This window comes from Homo sapiens, chromosome 7 (genome assembly GCF_000001405.40).
Source record: "Homo sapiens chromosome 7, GRCh38.p14 Primary Assembly".
Taxonomy (NCBI): Eukaryota; Metazoa; Chordata; class Mammalia; order Primates; family Hominidae; genus Homo; species Homo sapiens.
Genome location: NC_000007.14, coordinates 67143522 through 67161397, shown reverse-complemented (window position 1 = coordinate 67161397; position 17876 = coordinate 67143522). Strand labels below are relative to the sequence as shown.

The 17876-nt window shown below is 41.1% G+C and overlaps 1 protein-coding gene and 1 long non-coding RNA gene across 6 annotated transcripts in view; one reads left to right on the top strand and one right to left on the bottom strand.

Moving 5' to 3' along the window:
* Positions 1 to 17876, bottom strand: part of TYW1 (tRNA-yW synthesizing protein 1 homolog) — a 242682-nt gene that overhangs the window by 78117 nt on the left and 146689 nt on the right. The gene's annotated exons all lie outside the window — the stretch shown is intronic.
* On the top strand, positions 3325 to 14843 carry LOC124901666 (uncharacterized). Its single transcript, XR_007060373.1, has 2 exons — positions 3325 to 3687; positions 4258 to 14843. It is a non-coding gene; the product is annotated as an uncharacterized LOC124901666 (long non-coding RNA).

Genomic DNA, 17876 nt, shown 5'->3' with positions numbered 1-17876 from the left:
GTGAAAGAAAATTAAAGTGACAGGACAGGCAATTTTAAAATAAATGGAAGACATGGCTTCATAAAGATGGCAACTTTTCCAAATTAATCTACAAATTCAATGCATTCTAATCAATATCTCAAAGTTGTATGTGTGTGAAAACAAAACCTGATTCTAAAATAAATATGAAAATGTAATTAAAGGATAAGCACAGGCAAGACCATTCTGGAAAAAAACAATTTTGAAGAACATAGCATGTATTTTATGCTAGAAAACAAGGCTTACTATAAAGCTATGCTAACTTAGTGAGGTAAGTGACAAGAGAGAAAAACTAACCAATATAACACAGTAGAAAGCTCAGAAACAGATTCAAGCATACATGGAAACTTAATTATGAGAGGCCACCATTAGAAATCATGGAGGTAGAGAATGAATTATCCAACAAATGATGCTGGTTCAATCATTTATCCACTTGGGGAGGGTGAAATATCCCTGTGTCTTATCATACCTTAAAAAAGAAATAGAGAGGCCGGGCACAGTGGATCACGCCTCTAATCCCAGCACTCTGGGAGGCCGAGGTGGGCAGATCACTTGAGGTCAGGAGTTCGAAATCAGCCTGGCCAACGTGGTGAAACCCTATCTCTACTAAAAGTACAAAAATTAGCTGGGCATGGTGGCAGGCACCTATAATCCTAGCTACACAGGAGACTGAGGCAGGAGAATTGCTTGAACCCGGGAGGCAGAGGTGGTAGTGAGCCGAAATCGCATCACTGCACTCCAGCCTGGCCAACAGAGTGAGACTCCAATTCAAAAAAGTGAAAAATTTTAAAAATATATAGATAAATGTGTGTATATGTATATGTATATGTATATGTATATGTATATGTATATGTATACACATACCTTAAGTCCTTAAGTCCTTAATAAAACACATTTGCAAGTCATAAAAAATCACAAACATCTCAAAAGAAAAAACTGGCAAGGAACCAAAACAGATACTTCAAAAAGAATAGAAATTGTTAACAAAAATATAAATTATTTCAATATCACAAATAATTAAACACATATTACAACAATAGACACATGTAACAAAAATATTCAGAGTTGCAATGTTCATAATAGACACAAATTGGAAACAATTTTAATTAATTAATTAAGAGATAGGGTCTTGCTCTGTGGCTCAGGCTGGAGTGCAGTGGTGCAATCACAGCTCACTGCAGCCTCAACCTCCTGGGCTCAAGGGATTCGCCCACCTCAGCCTCCCGGTAAGACTACAGGCACTAGCCACCGCCTCTGGCTCAACTTAAAAATTTTTGGGGCCAGGCGTGGTGGCTCATGTCTGTAATCCCAGCACTTTGGGAGGCTGAGGCGGGCTGATCACGAGGTCAGGAGATCGAGACCATCTGGCTAACACAGTGATACCCCATCTCTACTAAAAAAAATACAAAACATTAGCCGGGCGTGGTGGCGGGCGCCTGTAGTCCCAGCTAATTGGGAGGCTGAGGCAGGAGAATGGCGTGAACCCGGGAGGCAGAGCTTGCAGTGAGCCGAGATTGTGCCACTGCACTCCAGCCTGGGCTACAGAGCAAGACTCTGTCTCAAAAAAATAAATAAATAAATAAAATAAAATAAAATTTTGTGATATTGTTACAATGGAATTCTTCAAAGGAATGAAAAAAATTAACTATTACTACATACAGCATGGCTAAATGATAGACATAATGCTACTAAAGAAGCTAGTCAAAATAAAAGACTATATTGAATGATTGGGAATAGTGGCTACCTTTGGAGGTGGGGGATGACAGGGAAGAAACAGGAAAAATGCCTTTGGACTGCTAGTTATACTGGTGAGTTGAACTTACAGAAAGTCAGCTGTACACTTTTTATACACCTTAGTGATATAGTATACTGTAAAACATTAACATTAAAATCAGACATATATGTTATTGTTTATAAAGCTGATAATGATGAAATATTAACATCTGGAGTTGTACTTCATCATGTAAGAATGTGCAAAAATGACAAGACCATGAGATATAACCTTACTAAAGGGCAAATTCGGAAATATCTGTTAAACTTTACAACTGTAGCCTCCTATCCCTGGAATTTGCCTTCCAGAATTTAAGTAAATGATCAGAAATATGTGCAAAGGTGTACATAAATTTTTGCAGTGCTATTTAATAGTAGATGGGTTAAGAAAATCATGACAAACCCAACTAATGAATATGCAGCAATTTAAACTTGAGGTAATATAATACTTAGACAAAGGATCACGATATATTACTAAGTGAAAAAAATCAGTAATCGAAGCCTTCATTTTAGGAAAGTAGAAAAACAAGAGCAATTTAAGCTAAAGTGAGCAGAGGAAAATAAATTATAAAAGTCAGAGCAGAAATCAATAAAATAGGTAAGAGAAAACCAAAAGAGAATAATCAACAAAACAAAAATTTGGCTCTGGAAAAATAAAATTACATTAACAAACTTCTAGCCAGGCTAATCAAGAAAAACGGAGAGAAGACACAAATTACCAATATCAAAAATGAAAAGAGGGCGGGTGCAGTGGCTCACGCCTGTAATCCCAGCACTTTGGGAGGCTGAGGCGGGCAGATCACGAGGTCAGGAGATCGAGACCATCCTGGCTAACACAGTGAAACCCCCGTCTCTTCTAAAAATACAAAAAAATTAGCCAGGCGTGGTGGCGAGCACCTGTAGTCCCAGCTACACGGTAGGCTGAGGCAGGAGAATGGTATGAACCCGGGAGGCGGAGCTTGCAGTGAGCCAAGATCATGCCACTGCACTCCAGCCTGGGCGACAGAGCAAGACTCCGTCTCCAGAAAAAAATAATAACAATAATAATATACCTGCTGACCAGCTGGGATTTATTCCAGGTATGCAAGGCTGGTTCAACATTCAAAATTCATTCAACATCACACATTGGCAGGCTAGTACAGAAAAATCATATGATCATATCAATTGACGATGAAAAGCATTTGACAAAAGCCAACATCTATTCATGATAAAATCCTTAGCAGGCCAGGCATGGTGGCTCACGCCTGTGATCCCAGCACTTTGGGAGGCCGAAGGCGGGCAGATCACAAGGTCAGGAGTTTGAGACCAGCCTGACCAACACAGCTGAACCCTGTCTCTATTAAAAATACAAAAATTAGCCACATGTGGTGGCGCACACCTGTAATCCCAGCTACTCAGGAGGCTGAGGCAGGAGAATCACATGAACCCAGGAGGCAGAGGCTGCAGTGAGCTAAGAGCGTGCCACTGCACTCCAGCCTAGGCGACACAGCAAGGCTCCATCACAAAAAAAAAAAAAAAAAAAAAAAATCCTCAGCAAACAAGGAATTAAGAGGAACTTCCCCAACATAATAAAAAATATCTACAGAAAACCTACTGCCAATAGCAAACTTAATAGTAAGAAAGTGCATACTTTCCCCCTAAAACATAACAGTCTTTACTAATCAAAATCACAGAACTTTATAGCACAAAGAATGAGCCTTAATATATACAAATTTTATTACAGCTCTCTGGTCTTCCTCCCCAAAACACATAAGCACGATTTCATCACAAGAAAAGTATCAGAAAAATCCTAATCAAGGGACATTCTACAAAATACCTGACCAGTCCTGCTCAAAACTTTCAAGGTATCAAAGACAAGGGAAGTCTGAGAAACTGTCCCGCCTAGAGAAGCCTAAGGAAGTAAGTCCATTAAATGTAAGGTGCTATCCTGAATGGGATCCTGGAATATAAAAGGGGCATCCGTTCAGCCAAACCTAAAGAAATCTAAATAAATGTATGAATTTTATGTATTAATATTGGTCATAGGCCGGGCACGGTGGCTCACACCTGTAATCCCAATACTTTGGGAGGTTGAGGCGAGTGGATCACCTGATGTCAGGAGTTCAAGACCAGCCTGGCCAATATAGTGGAACCCCATCTCTACTGAAAATACAAACATTAGCCAGGCATGGTGGTTGACACCTGCAATCCCAGCTACTCGGGAGGCTGAGGCAGGAGAATTGCTTGAACCCACGAGGCAGAGGTTGCAGTGAGCCGAGATTGTGCCATTGCACTCCAGCCTGGGTGACAGAGCGAGACTCCATCTCAAAAAATAAACAACAAAAAATATTGGTTCATAAATTGTAACAAATGTACCATAGTAATGTAAAACGTTAACAATAACAGAAACGGTGTGTGCTGGGAAAGGGGGTGTGCATGGGAATTCTGTACTATCTTTGTAATTTTTCTGTAAATCTAAAACTGTCATAGGAGATGTCATCAAGATGGTTGACTAGAGGCGCTTGGTACTCACCTCCTCCACAAAGAAGGACCAGAATAGCAAGTAGATAACCACACCTCGAAAAGAGCATCTAAGAGACAATATGGGGTTTTTGGCAGGGAAGTGACTGAGAATGTCTAAGACACAGAAGGAAAGGGGAAAGGTAAGTGAGAGGTCCCCAGTGGCCCACATCCCCACCACTGACACCTGCAACCCTACCCCCAGAAGAGTCCCTCAGCTCTCACAAGCCCTAAGCCTGGTACAGGAGGCTTTCTGGAATCCACATGACTAACTGTTCCAGAGAGAGAATTCACACTGGGTCCCACTCACACCAGGAGCCCCAAGCAACTACATCACAGCACCGTATTGAGCTCAACCCCCACCAGACTGCATCCTGCCCTGGAGACCAATAGCCCCTGCATCTCCACATCTCTGGAGCCCTGCTGGCATCTCCCATGTTCTTCCAGAAGGCTGTAGCAGCACAATGCCAGCCAGACCCAGTGATGTGGCCAGGTCCCCAGCACTCTAGTCCACCCCATGTCCTATGCCTTGGGAAACAGATGGCCAACACACCAGGATGACTACTCCCAGGACGAAAAGAGCCAAAACATGTGTTCTCCAAAGCCTGGGAGCTACCTGCCTAGGGCCACAGTCACCAGTAGCAACCCCTGGCAGGGCTGCCAATGTACCTGCACACACCTTCAGGTGCCCTGAAAACGTGGTTTCTCTGGGCATGAAGATGTGTCTGCCCATCTGCACACACTGTCCAGGAGCCTGGGGATCAACCCACTCCACCTGTCACCGCCCACTGTCACCACCTGCGTGTCTCCCAGGGGCCTGAGGATTGGTCCGCTGCCACTACTGCTAGAGCCAGCACCATGGCACACTGCCTGGGGCCTAAGAACACACAGGCCCAGCCCATGACTGCCACCACTATTGCATGAGCATGCCACCTGGAGGCCCAAAGACTGGCCCGACCAGGACCCCACAGCCACCACTGGCATCTTTGTCTGCCATCCAGGGCCATGCTGCCACCACCACTGACTGGTGCCTTACGAATGATCGGGCTGGTATCCCCTTCCCAGCAAAGCCCTACCACAGCCTCCACTAACAACCACAGCCTATGCCACTGAGAGGAACTCTCAGACACCACTGACATTGATTACAATCAAAAAAGTCATAAAAAGACTACACTGCTGCGCCCACCCAGAACCACTACCCAACCAATAGTATAAATACATCTACAGGAAAAAGTCTTTGCCTCTGAAAGCTAATCCATAAAATTGGAAGAAGTGACCATTAAACCAGGTGTAAGATATCAATGATAAGGACACAAGAACGATGAGGAAGCAAGAAAACATGATACCTCTTGTGTTAGTCCATTTGCACCACTATAAAAGAATACTTAGCCGGGCTCAGTGGCTCACGCCTATAATCCCAGCACTTTGGGAAGCTGAGGCATGAGAATCACTTGAACCTGGGAGGTGGAGTCTGCAGTGAGCTGATATTGAGATCGCGCCACTGCACTCCAGCCTGGGTGACAGAGCAACTCTGTCTCAAAAAAAAAAAAAGAATACCTAAAGCTGGGTAATTTATGAAGAAAAGAGGTTTAATTCGCTCACAGTTTTGCACGGTGTACAGGAAGCATGGTGCTGTGTCCTGCTTCTGGTGAGGCCTCAGGAGGCATACACTCACGGTGGAAGGTGAAGGGGCAGCAGGTGCATCACCTGGTGAGAGTGGGAGCAAGAGCGAAGGAGGAGAAAGGTGCCACACACTTTTACACAACCAGGTCTTGCAAGAACTCACGCACTATCACAAGGACAGCGCCAACTCATTCCTGAGGGATCTGTCTCCATGACCTAAACACCTTCTACCAGGCCCCACCTCCAACATTGGGGATCACATTTCAACATGAGATTTGGAGGGGACAAACATCCAAACTATATCTCCTCCAAAGGAAAATCGTAATTCTCCAGTAAAAGATCTCAAAGAAAAGGAAATTTATGAAATGCCTGAAAAGAATTCAAAATAATGATCTTGGGGAAACTCAGTGGATTATAACACAGATCAACAATACAAAGATACAGATATCCTAAAATAGAACCAAATCAGAAATCTTGGAACAGAAGAATTCAATGAATGAAATAAAAAATAAAATCAAGAGCATCAACAAGAGATTAGAGTGGAAGAAAGAACTTCTGAACTCGAAGACAAGACTTTTGAAACAACTCGGATTTTTTTTAAAAAAGATAATTTAAAAGTATACAGAAAGCCTATGTGACATGCAGGACACCATAAAGCAAACATATATTTGAATTTCAGGAGTTCCAGAAAGAGAAGAAATGGACAAAGGCATAAAAAACCTATTTAATAAAATAATAGTTTAAAATTTCTCCAAGTCTTGAGAGAGAGAGATAGACAACCAGATACAGCAGGCTCAAAGATCCCCACATATATTCAATCCAAAAAGGTCTTCTCTAGGCACACTATAGTCAAGCTGTCAAAAGTGAAAGAGAATTCTAAAAACAGCAAGAGTGTCAAGTCATATATAAGGGAATCTCCATTAGACTAAGAGCAAATTTCTTAGCAGAACCCTTATAGAACAGGAGAGAATGGGATGATACAATCAAAGTACTGAAAGAAAAAAACTGCTTATCAAATCCAGCAAAACTATCCTTCAGAAATGAAGGAGAAATAAAGTCTTTCCCAGACAAGTAAAAACAGATAATTCCTCACCACTAGACTGACTGTACAAGAAATGTTTAAGGGAGTCCTATATCTGGAAGTGAAAGAATGGTATCTACCATCATAAAACTGTTCCAAAATACAAGTTTATTGAAAAATAAAAGTATGCTCAACTGTTTATAATCACAGACAAATGGAAGTAACCATCAGAAAGTCGTTAAATGGGCCAGGCGCGGTGGCTCACAACTGTAATCCCAGCACTTTGGCAGGCCAAGGCAGGTGGATCATGAGGTCAGGAGATCAAGACCATCCTGGCTAACATGGTGAAACCCCATCTCTACTAAAAAATACAAAAAAAATAGCCAGGTGTGGTGGCAGGCACCTGTAGTCCCAGCTACTTGGGAGGCTGAGAATGGTGTGAACCCACGAGGCAGAACTTGCAGTAAGCTAAGGTCACGCCACTGCGCTCCAGCCTGGGTGACAGAGCGAGACTCCGTCTCAAAAAAAAAAAAAAAAAAAAGAAAGTCGTTAAAATGAATGACATATCCATGGAATACAATGCAACTAATTAAACACTGAGGTAAAACTGCTTGTATACAAAGAGGTAAAACACATTAAACATATTGTTAAACAAACAAAAAAAGCAACTTGTAGGCAGTATGCAAAGCATGATTCAATTTGCACTTTAAAAATTCAAGTATAGTTAGTATAAACTAAACATGTCAATAAAGATGGTTTCTAAATTATAAATAGATACTCCTTCTAGGGAGTGAAACTTAAGCGGGAAGGAAATGGGGGTCCAACCAGGGTGGTTTTCATTTTTATATTTCTGTATATTTTATGAGAGCAAATTTGATAAAGTAATTATTTTCCTTAAAAACAGACTACATTATACATATAGCATGATACATTAAAACAATATGGCTATGTATGTACAAATATACATCTACATATATAAACATAAGACTATTTTGTATTGTTTTGTTTTTTGAGACTGAGTCTTGCTTTGTCACCCAGGCTGGAGTGCAGTGGCACAATCTCGGCTCACTGCAACCTCCACCTCCCATGTTCAAGCGATTCTCCTGTCTCGGTCTCCCAAGCAGCTGGGATTATAGATGTGCACCACAACACCCAGCTAATTTGTGTATTTTTAGTAGAGATGGGGCTTTGCCATGTTGGCCAGGCTGGTCTTGAACTCCTGACCTCAAGTGATCTGCCCACCTTGGCCTCCCAAAGTGCCGGGATTACAGGCATGAGCCACCACACCCACCCATAAACATAAGATTTAAAAAGCATGCATTCAGCATGTATTACCTTAATCATTAGGAAGAAAGCCCAAGAAACCTAATATAAACATCATCTAGCAACTGTGAAGGCTGGGGCTAAATGTTACAAGAATAGAAAAATGACCTCCCCCTGGTGTGATGTGACTGGAGAACTACACAGCTGGAGCTAGCAAGGAGGAAGGCAGGCTTGAGAACAGAGACAATAAGCTCAGTTGTGTTCCTTTAGATTCCAAGGTGCCAGCAAAAAACTGGGGAATATGGCAGGGCATGGTGGCTCACGCCTGCAATCCCAGCACTTTGGGAGGCCCAGGCAGGCGGATCACCAGAGGTCAGGAGTTCAAGACCAAACTGGCTAACATGGTGAAACCTGTCTCTGCTAAAAATACAAAAATGAGCCAGGCGTGGTGGCCCACACCTGTAGTCCCAGCTACTCGGGAGGCTGAGGCAGGAGAATCACTTGAACCCGGGAGGCTGAGGGTACAGTGAGCCGAGATCATGCCACTGCACTCTAGCCTGGGTGACAGAGGGAGACTCTGTCTCAAAGAAAAGAAAAGAAAAAAACAAAAAACTGTGAATATGTGTAAGCAGCACGTTGAGTTCAAAATACGGAAACAGAACCTAGGTGTGCAAACAGGGTGGCGGGGTGAGGGAGGATACAATGATATGCTCAAGCAAGATTGTCAAAAGATGAGGGGAAGATGCCAGCAAAGAAGAAAAAAACAATGAGAGCAAAATCTTCTAAAACCCCCAAAGGAGAGAGTTTCAAGAGGAAACTGATGGTGAGCAAGGTGAAATAGCACTGCATTCAGGAGGATGAACGAGGAAGCCATTATAGATAGGGCAATTCATGAGTAAAGTCTTAGCAGAGCAGTTTCCGAGTATCCTAATGGTGAGTCTAATCCAGGGGTCAGCTAACTTTTTCTATAAATACCATGTAAACATAGTAAATATTTTAGGCTTTGAGAACCAAATGGTCTCTGTGGCAGCTACCCCACTCTGCCAGTGTGGCAGGAAAGCACCACAGACAATATGTAAACAAGAATCATGGTGACCAGGCGTGGCAGCTCATGCCTACAATCCCAGCACTTTAAGAGGCCAAGGTGAGAAGATCACTTGAGCCAGGAGTTTGAGACCTACCTGCACAACATAGCAAGACCTCATCTCTACTAAAATTAAATTTTAAAAATTAGCCAGGTGTGATGGTGCATGCCTGTGGTCCCAGCTACTGGGGAGGCTGAGGTGGGAGGATCGCTTGAGCCCAGGAGACTGAGGCTGCAGTGAGCTGTGATTGGGCCATTGCACCCCAGCCTGGTCAAAAGAGCAAGTCCCTATCTCAACAACAACAACAACAACAAAAAAAGCAGCAGCAGCATGGCTGTGTTCCAATAAAACTTTATTTATAAAAACAAGTCACGCCAGATTTGGGCCCTGAGCTGCAGTTTCCTGACCCCTCACACCAGTCACTACCATTTCTGTTGAGAAAGAACTACTTTCAGATTCTGCCATCTGACACAATAATTCTTGTTTGAACACCAGTTTCCTGTTTGCAAAATCCTGCTACTGCTTGTAGATATATTCCTCTATGTATTTTCCTTAACTGTGAAGATTTAAATGAAAATATATAAGAATTCTGAATCACTCCTAAAGGAGACATTAGGAAAAAGAAAGACCTAGGTATTGGTAAGAGAGAAAGGGATATAAAATAAAAGGCAGAGCAGTAGAAGGTTCTGGATTACAGTCACAAGTAAGAATTAAAAGACAAAACAAACCCAGGCCTTAAAAATGCACTTTAGAATTAGGTTCTAATGGTGAGCCAGGCACAGCGGCTCATGCCTGTAATCCCAACACTTTGGGAGGCTGAGGCGGGTGGATCACCTGAGGTCAGGAGTTCAAGACCAGCCTGGCCAACATGAAACCTCATCTCTACTAAAAATACAAAAGATTAGCCAGGCGTGGTGGCACACACCTTTAATTCCAGCTATTCGGGAGGCTGAGGCAGGAGAATCGCTTGAACCCGGGAGGCGGAGGTTGCAGTGAGCCAAGATCTCGCCACTACACTCCAGTCTGGACATCAGAGTAAGATTCTGTCTCCAAAAAAAAAAAAAAAAGAAGAAGAATATAATGGCAGGAAAAGAATCAGCTGAATAATTGGAGCAGCTCTGCTGAATTCTAGGGAGGTCTGGTGTAAAGTTACCGTGGGTGCACTATAGGTAACTAATGTGTTAGAAAGTAAGTTTGAAATAGGATACATTAAATGGATTAAATAAAATTTACCCACAGGTTTTTAATTTCAAGCACGAAATTATCTGGGTTTCTTGAGCCCAGTGGACCCTGAAAGTCAATAGCTCAGTCATGGGTCAGACAGGGGGGAAAAAAAAGACAAGGCCTGTATTTACTATGCACAAACACAGGACAAAACAAATTTATAATTATCACGTGGATGCTGTAGGAGAATCTGAAATTTTAGTTGCAAGAAAGAAACAGAAAAGTAGAAATTCATTGAATAGTACTCATTACTAATTAAAGGTGTATAAAATGTTACTAATATTCTCTATTCAACATTATTTCCTTGGTCCTTTTACTAAATGAACATAATATTTAGAAGGGTTTTCACTGATTGCTACAATTCCCAACTTTGATCTAAATTTTGCTTTAAAGAGCTTAATTCTTCAAACTTGACTTCCCCTATCACACAGATGTTGTAGGATATAATCTTTGTGTTTGATAATGAAATGACTGTATCCAAACTGCACCTCCACTAAGAGATGGGCAGGTGGTAGTTTTTTTGTTTTGGGTTTTGTTTTGTTTTCCTGATCTGAGAATGACACCAAAGGTGGTAGGTTTGTGTTTGTTGTGGACTCTGCTTCTCTACTTCCCTATTTCCCTTTCAGAGATTATGAGGAAGTTCTAGAAAACTAGGCAGTCTCTAGCTTTCCTCTAATCCCTGTCCTCAGTCCTACCACACCCAGAAAATGGCAACCAGGAGTCCAAAAAGAATCACTGCCTTTACGCTAGGAGGAATGGTGAAGACATGGTCATGTCATAATGGGTTATAAACAGACAAATGGACCTACAACCTGGGAATTCTCCAGTGTTTTTCAGAGTCTACCAGATATTTTCAAAGAACATAAAGGCAAAAGATGGTAATTTGCTTTCATAAGCCAGGAGAAGAAAAGAAGGGAAATGTGCTTTCTGGTGACATAAATCTTTAAATAGTTAGCTTTGAAAGTCAATGGAGTCAACAGATAAGAGTGAACAAAAATAAAATGAAGTGTTCCTTCAGCCACTGGACCAGGTCGGGGTCTCCCCACATCTCATGATGTGGTTCACGTGTTAGGAGGAGAAATGAATGATGATATATCCCTTCAGGTTTTTAACATAGAGAGATAGATAGATAGATAGATAGATAGATAGATAGATAGATAGATAGATAGATATTTTTTTTCCTTTTTTGACAAGCTCCAAAGCTAGAAAAATATCACATCAGAAAGATTCTAAAACTGGTAGAGAAAAAGCTAACAAACTCTAAGAGCTGCTCAAATTTTATTTACATGATTTTTAACATTTCTAACAGGCAAAACACATTTTTTCCCCCAGTGTGTGGAAGGGAAGGTGCAAATGGCTGAATATAAATGGTATTTATTTCAATCCAATATCTCAGACTATGAAGGAACTAATGGCAAAATTTTTTTTATTCCTAGGAAAGTGGCAAATGAGTTTTTGCCATGTATATGAGTTTCTTATGGACCCACATCAGAAGAGCAAGCCATCTTCACACTGCCATAAATCAAATAGAACCCATATAGTTTCTATTATCTTCATTTCCCAGATGCACTAATATAGGTTTTCAAATGTCAACTTGAGAAAGTGCTTCCTTCTTTCTAGTTTGAATGAGCAAAAGAAATTAGCTTCTGATCATTCTTTTTAATTTCCCTTTCCTGTAAATTCTCTTTTTCATAAATCAAACATGATGATTCTCATAAAAAGGTTCAGCTCTAATCTCCAAAATGGCAATAGCCAGGCTAAAAATTTTTAAACAAGTGGTGAGGTGAATGGCCGTGAATGATTCCATTTAGAAGAAATTAAGGAGGATGAAATCTACTTGGTAACGGGGTAAAATGCCACTGGTCTCTTAGTCAAGACCGGGGGTTGGGGGTGGTGCGCGATGACTTCTTTGTTATCTGTTTGTGGCAATGGGTCACAATCATTTTAAATCCCAAGCCACTTTTGATAAACATGAAAATGTTCCTTCAATGCTATTTGAAATTTCAAAGGAAATATCATTAAAAACAAATTGAAAGCAATGGTTATTTTTTAAAATGTCAGTTCAAACCACCTGGGTGCTCTTGGAGTGCCCCCTCCCCCAATTCTCTGCTAGGTGAAAATCCATTATCTGTGTGACCTAGAACAAATAAAAATCACTTTCAACAGCCGGGCACAGTGGCTCACGCCTGTAATCCCAGCATTTTGGGAGGCCAAGGTGGGCGGATAACGAGGTCAGGAGATCGAGACCATCCTGGCTAACACAGTGAAACCCCGTCTCTACTAAAAATATATATATAAAAAATTAGCCGGGCGTGGTGGCAGGCGCCTGTAGTCCCAGCTACTCGGGAGGCTGAGGCAGGAGAATGGCGTGAACCCGGGGGGCGGAGCTTGCAGTGAGCCGAGATCACGCCACTGCACTCCAGCCTGGGAGACAGCAAGACTCCATCTCAAAAAAAAAAAAAAAAAAAATCACTTTCAAGTAAACCTTGTTAAGTGACCTTAGTTCCAACTTGGAGTCTCGGACTCATGTTAATTTTTTTTTTTTAATCTTACGACACTCTGTTGAACGAGTACAAACCATTTACACACATATCACAATAACTCAAGAATCCTGAGAAACAGGTGAAACCATTATTCTAGAAATTAGAAATAAAACATATCTCTACTGAGATATATAAAGATCAACTCTCTTACATCTTCTTCTCTACCTACATGTCCATGTTCAAGTCTCCCCACTTCAAACCAACAGACCAATAACCCTCCCCTCAAAGCCCCCCCACAAACCCCAAAGCCTTCTGTGACCCTTCCTCCCAAGATGACCATCTGTTCTCTTTCTTGCCAAATATTATGACAATCTGCCGTCCATCTCCACCAAACCATTGAGATTACTTTGGTAACAGGCATCAATAATCTCTGATTTGTCAAATATTTGGGTTTCTTTTTTTTTTTCCAAATTAATTTATTTTTTCTTTTACCTTGATTCTTTCCTTCTTCCTAATTTCCATAGGCTTATTTTGCTATTTCTTAGATTTAATGCTTAGCTTACTAAGCTAACTAGTAGATGACTAGTTGCCCACCAATCCCTATTCTCCCCTTTGTCCTTATAAGCAGAGAACCTTGCAGACGTAAAAAAGAACAAGATCATGTCCTTTGCAGGGACATGGTTGGAGCTGGAGGCCATTATCCTCAGTAAACTAACACAGGAATGGAAAACCAAATACCACATGCTCTCACTTATAAGTGGTAGCTAAATGATGAGAACACATGGACACATAGAGAGGAACAACACACACTGGGGCCTATCACAGAGTGGAGAATGGGAGGACGGAGAGGATCAGGAAAAAAACAAATGGGTAGCAGGCTTAATACCTGGATGATGAAATAATCTGTACAACGAACTCCCATGACACAAGTTTATCTGTGTAACCAATGTGCACGTATACCTTTGAACTTAAGAGTTAAAAAAAAAAATACAGAGCATGCTTGAGCTACTTGGTCACAGCAATATATGATCTGTGGGGGAATGGATCCAGGAACCTCATGGATGGCAAAATCCATGGATGCTCCAGTTTCTTCATAAAATGATGTCATATTTGCATTTAACCTATGCACATTCTCCAATATACTTTAAATAATCTCTAGATTACTTACAATAGCTAATACAATGTAAACGCTAGGTAGTCTTTACACTGTATTTTTTTACTGTTGTATTGTTATTTTTTTCTGAATATTTTCAATCTGTGGTTGGTTGAATCTGCAAGGACACAGCCTGTGGATACAGAGGGCTGACTCTGCTCTGCTAAAAGAACCTATTTCCCAGTCTCCCTCTAGCAAGGGGTGACTAAGACACCTAGTTCTGGCTAAAAAGATGTAAATGGAAGAGTTATGCAAATAATTTTAAAAGAAAGAAGATGTGCCCTTCTTGTACACATCTTTGTACTGTCTACTCAAAATGAAGGCTGGAATGCCAACATGATGGCTCTAGCAACCATTATGAACCATGAAGTACACTGCAGAATGAAAGTCATCTGTTGAATGTCAAAGAAGACAGGAATCTGAGTCTCTGATGACACTGTGAAGCCACTGTATCAGCCTCTGGTTCACCTACAATCAGGCTTCTGTGACATTAGAAGAAAAGATATTTCTAACTTGATTAACCTACTCACTATCTGGGGATGTTATATGCAGCTGATCTGAATCCCAAGTGATATAATTCACATTTGGTCCAATTCTGAATATTGTTATACAATATTCTTATTTTCACTATCTTACAAGTATCTATAATTGTAGTTTTGATTCCCTTTCACTTAATGAAGATTAAAATTGAGTCTTGTGAATTACCAAGTGGTTGGGCTTTGTTTACACTTTTGTTGGTCTTGCTCCATTGTGTTCAGTGGCAGTAGCCTATGTTATATTTTTATTTTTCATCTCTCCTATCAGAAAATAGGGGCCTTATCTGCCTATTCGCTTGTCCTCAGAAGCTAGAAGAATCTTTACCAGATATTAAGCACTCAATAAATATTTGTTGAGTGAATGAATACAGTTTGGACAGTTCAGATCTTTTTAACATTGTTTATGGTCTAGTATATTAAATGTTATGCAAACATAAGAAGGCATCATAAAAATAAAAATACAAGGGAAAATGGGTAAGTATTGGAGGAAGGCAATCTATCATTATGAAGAAATAGAGCAAGATTCTATCACAGGATGGAAAACTACTTATGTTACAAAGGAGATAAAGTTATGCACATAGTATGATTATAACTATGAACCCCAAACTTAAGCTTATATCTAAATAAGTACCATAAAAATAATAAAAAAAGAACAAAGGCCAGGCACGGTGGCTCACACCTATAATCCCAGTACTTTGCGAAGTCCAGGTGGGCAGATTGCTTGAGCCCAGGAGTTCAAGACCAGCCTGGGCAACATGCCAAACTCTGTCTCTAAAAAAAATAAATAAATAAAATAAAAATTTAGCTGAGCATGGTGGCACGCACCTGTAGTCCCAGCTATTTGGGAGGTTGAGGTGGGAAGATTGCTTAAGCCCAGGAGGCAGAGGCTGCAGTGAGCTGTGATTGTGCAACTGTGCTCCAGCCTGGGCAACAGAGCAAAACCCTGTCTCAAAAAAACCCCAAACAAACAAAACATAAAAATCATAAGCTAAATACTATAAATTTGAAAAATACTACTTGAAATACAGTGGGCAGCAGGAAGGCATTCAGAAAAAAATGACCATAGGAAATATATACCCAATGCATTTAAAGAACCACCATATCACTGGCTGATCTAAGATGATGAAACAATAGTAACACAGGAATCTCCTAGCTGAGAGCACCAACCTGTTCCTGAAAATGCTAAATGAAGCATATTTCACACTATTTTAATTGGGAAAAATTAAAATGTGTTACACATCAACTCAAAATCTCCAGTTTTTAAAAATGAAACCAGTCAGGCGCGGTGGCTCACGCCTGTAATCCCAGCACTTTGGGAGGCCGAGGCGGGTGGATCAAGAGGTCAGGAGATCGAGACCATCCTGGCTAACACGGTGAAACCCCGTCTCTATTAAAAATACAAAAAAATTAGCCGGGCGTGCTGGCGGGCACCTGTAGTCCCAGCTACACGGGAGGCTGAGGCAGGAGAATGGCATGAACCTGGGAGGCAGAGCTTGCAGTGAGCCAAGATCATGCCACTGCACTCCAGACTGGGAGAGAGAGCGAGACTCGTTTCAAAAAAAAAAAAAAAAAGAAACTAAAACAGGGTAAAATGCCCATATGTACAATAGCCATTGTATTGGTCTGTAAAATATGTAAAAGACTGCTAACAACTGAAAACAAAAAAACAAGATTCACATCAACTGCTCAGGATGGGAAAGTGGCCTCTCTCAGTGCCAGCACCAGCAAGAAGCAAATTAGTAGGCCTTTCAAATCACCCACATCTGACTCTCACCATCGACTGATTGTATTTGGAGCTGGCATTCTGGATTTTTCCTGCATATGTTTTTGTTTAAAATGCTGTATTAGTTTTTGGAAATAAATATAAATGTTGCCTTTGTAAGTATCAGTTAAAAACGTTGTATTGAAAGACTGCTGTGCTGTAGGAAGTTTGGATATTAAAAACAAAGAGGAGGCCAGGCCCGGTGGCTCACGCCTGCAATCTCAGCACTTTGGGAGGCCAACCCGGGCAGATAGCTTCAGCTCAGAGCTCTAGAGGAGGCTGGGCAACACGGCGAAACCCTGTCTCTATAAAAAATACAAAAATTAGCCAGGTGTGGTGACACACGCCTGTAGTTCCAGCTACTCGGAAGGCTGAGGCAGGAGGATTGCTTGAGTCGGGAGGTGGAGGCTGCAGTGAGCTGAGATCATGCCACTGCACTCCAGCCTGGGTGACAGAGCAAGACTCCAGCTCAAAAAAACAAAACAAAACAAAGAGATGTTGTAGTGGAAAACCAGCAACACAAAGAGGTGACCTGTAGGGTACGCCTGTATTTGGAAGAGATGTCTGTTCATATACTCTTCAGACAATCTGATGATATATGAATCAAAAGTCAAAGGGTAGAGAAAATTCTATTCCCTTGTGGCTTGCCAGATCTTTAAAACCATTTTTCTTATTTTTTAGGTAGTTGTGTGTCACTACTATTCAAGCCATAATTTACTCAAGGCTGACCTTAATACACAGCTAGCGTCACATAAAAGATACTTTCTCAAATGAAAAAAGTCTTTAAGTCACCCTCCCATGACACACACTACCCATGTATTTGGTCATCTAGGCCTTGGAGTCCTAGAAATGTCTACTGAATTAATGATCCACTGCTACATTAATGACCTATATAAAATTTCATTAAACTTTTAAAGATAAAATACAAATTGTTTTTCTGTAATGTTATCATAGATTTTGTTTGTTTTCAGTGGAAACTGGAAAACATGAGAAAATGTCATCCATGACTCAATACTTTTACACTATTATAAATGTTTTTGTTCAACCGGTTTTAAGTCAAAAAATTAGCTAATTAGCATATACACCAAAAAACGCTTTCTCAGCTTCTGTCAAATGATTACTTGAATGTTTTTAGAATCACAGAATTATTTAAACAGCCTTTTAAAAGCTCTCTCAGTGTGCCAGGCACTACCAGCTTGTGGACAGCTAGATCGTTAAGACCATTTCCCATTTTTGGAGTAGTGTAGCTTTGTTTTTTAACATGAAGGCTGAGAAAACTCCTTCTCAACACCCCAGCTTATCCACTGTCATTCCACTCCCCATCTGACCCCATGCTCTTGGACTCTGGTGGAACTGAACTGCTCCACAAGCCACACGTGCTTTCCCAAATCGCCAAACTCTGCCTGCTTCCGCAAACAGGAAGGCTCTTTAGTAATCAG